The following is a 2,034-nucleotide window of genomic DNA, read 5'->3' on the forward strand; positions in this document are numbered from 1 at the left end:
ATAAGGTGTTATCTGTTTGACTATTTACATTTCAAAGCAATGACTTCCTACTCCTTGAGCATACTAGCCATGATATATGTATACTAGTATATACTAATATATATACACATGCTAGTCATGATGTATGTAGTATTTAAAAAATTGTCAGCTGGGTGCAGTGGTTCATGCCTATAAGCCCAGCACTTTGGGAGGCCAAGGTGGGTGGATCATGAAGCCAGGAGTTTGAGACCAGCCTGGCCAAAAACCCCATCTCTACTAGAAATACAAAACTTAGCCAGGCGTGGTGGTGGGCGCCTATAATCCCAGCTACTCAGGAGGCTGAGGCAGGAGAATTGTTTGAGCCCAGGAGGCGGAGGTTGCAGTGAGCTGAGATCACACCACTGCACTCCAGCCTGAGCAACAGAGTGAGACTTTGTCTCAAATAATAACAATAATAAAATAATAATAATTAATATATACTTTGAGAAGGAGAGAAATAATATAATGTAATATAATATAATATAACATAACATAAAGGCTTTAAGAAAAGGAGGATGAGGCTGGGCATGGTGGCTCATACCTGTAAACCCAGCATTTTGGGAGGTTGAGGTGGGCAGATCACATGAGGTCAGGAGTTCAATACCAGCCTGACCAAAAAGTTGAAAACCCATCTCTACTAAAAGTACAAAAAATTAACCGGGCATGGTGGCAGGCACTTGTAATCCCAGCTACTCAGGGGGCTGAGGCAGGAGAATCACCTGAACCTGGGAGGCGGAGGTTGCAGTGAGCCGAGATTGTGCCACTGCACTCCAGTCTGGGTGACAGACTGAGACTCTGTCAAAAATAAATAAATAATAAAAATAAATAATAAATTATTTTTTAAAAAGCTAAACATCACTAATTATTAGAGAAATGCAAATAAAAACCACAATGAGATTCCATCTCACTCAAGTCAGAATGGCTACTATTAAAAAGTCAAAATATAACAGATGCTTGTGAGGTTGTGGAGAAATGAAATGCTTATACACTGCTGAAGAAAGTGTAAATCTTTTCAACCATTGTTTAAAACAGTGTGACAGTTTTTCTAAGACCTAAAAACAGAATTACCATTATACCAAGCAATCCCACAATTGTGTGGGATTCATATATATCAAAGAAATATGCTATTTTACCATAAAGACACATGCACTCATATGTTTGTGACAGCACTATTTAAAATAGCAAAGACAAGGAATCAACCTAAATGCCTTCAATGGTAGATTGAATAATGAAAATATGGTACACTTACATCATGGAATAGTATGCATCCATTAAAAAGAACAGCATAATTTTTTTTGCAGCAGCATTGATGGAGCTGGAGACTATTTTTTTTAAAAAAAAGCTAATGCAGAAAACTAATAAATGAGAGCCAAATAATGAGAAAACATGAACACAAATAAGGGAACAACAGTCACTGAGGCCTAGTTGAGGGTGGTGAGTGGGAAAATGAAAAAGAGTGTAAAAAACTTCCTTGGGTACTATGCTTAGTACGTAGGTAATAAAATAATCTGTACACCAAACCTCCATGATATGATTTTACCTATATAACAAACATGCACATGTACTCTGGAACCTAAAATAAATTTAAAAGAAACAAAAATCGGCCCAACATGGTGGCTTACACCTGTAATCTCAGCACGTTGGGAGGCTGAGACGGGCAGATCACTTGAGCTTAGGAGTTCAAGACCAGCTTGGCCAATATGGTGAAACCCCGTTTCTACTAAAAATACAAAATTAGCTGGGTGTGGTGGTGCATGCCTGTAGTCCCAGCTACTCGGGAGGCTGAGGCAGGAGAATCACTTGAACCCAGGAGGCAGAGGTTGCAGTGAGCCGAGATCATGCCACTGTACTCCAGCATGGGCAACAGAGCAAGACACCATCTCAAAAAAAATAAATAAATAAAATAAGCATATAAAAATTAAAAAAATAAAAGAAACAAAAATCTTTGTGTGGGGGAGAGTATAAGGTTGGTGGTAGGACTGGTTTGTGCTACATATAGTGGCCTATGTAGGGCTG

Source organism: Homo sapiens, chromosome 16 (assembly GCF_000001405.40).
Source record: "Homo sapiens chromosome 16, GRCh38.p14 Primary Assembly".
Classification (NCBI taxonomy): domain Eukaryota; kingdom Metazoa; phylum Chordata; class Mammalia; order Primates; family Hominidae; genus Homo; species Homo sapiens.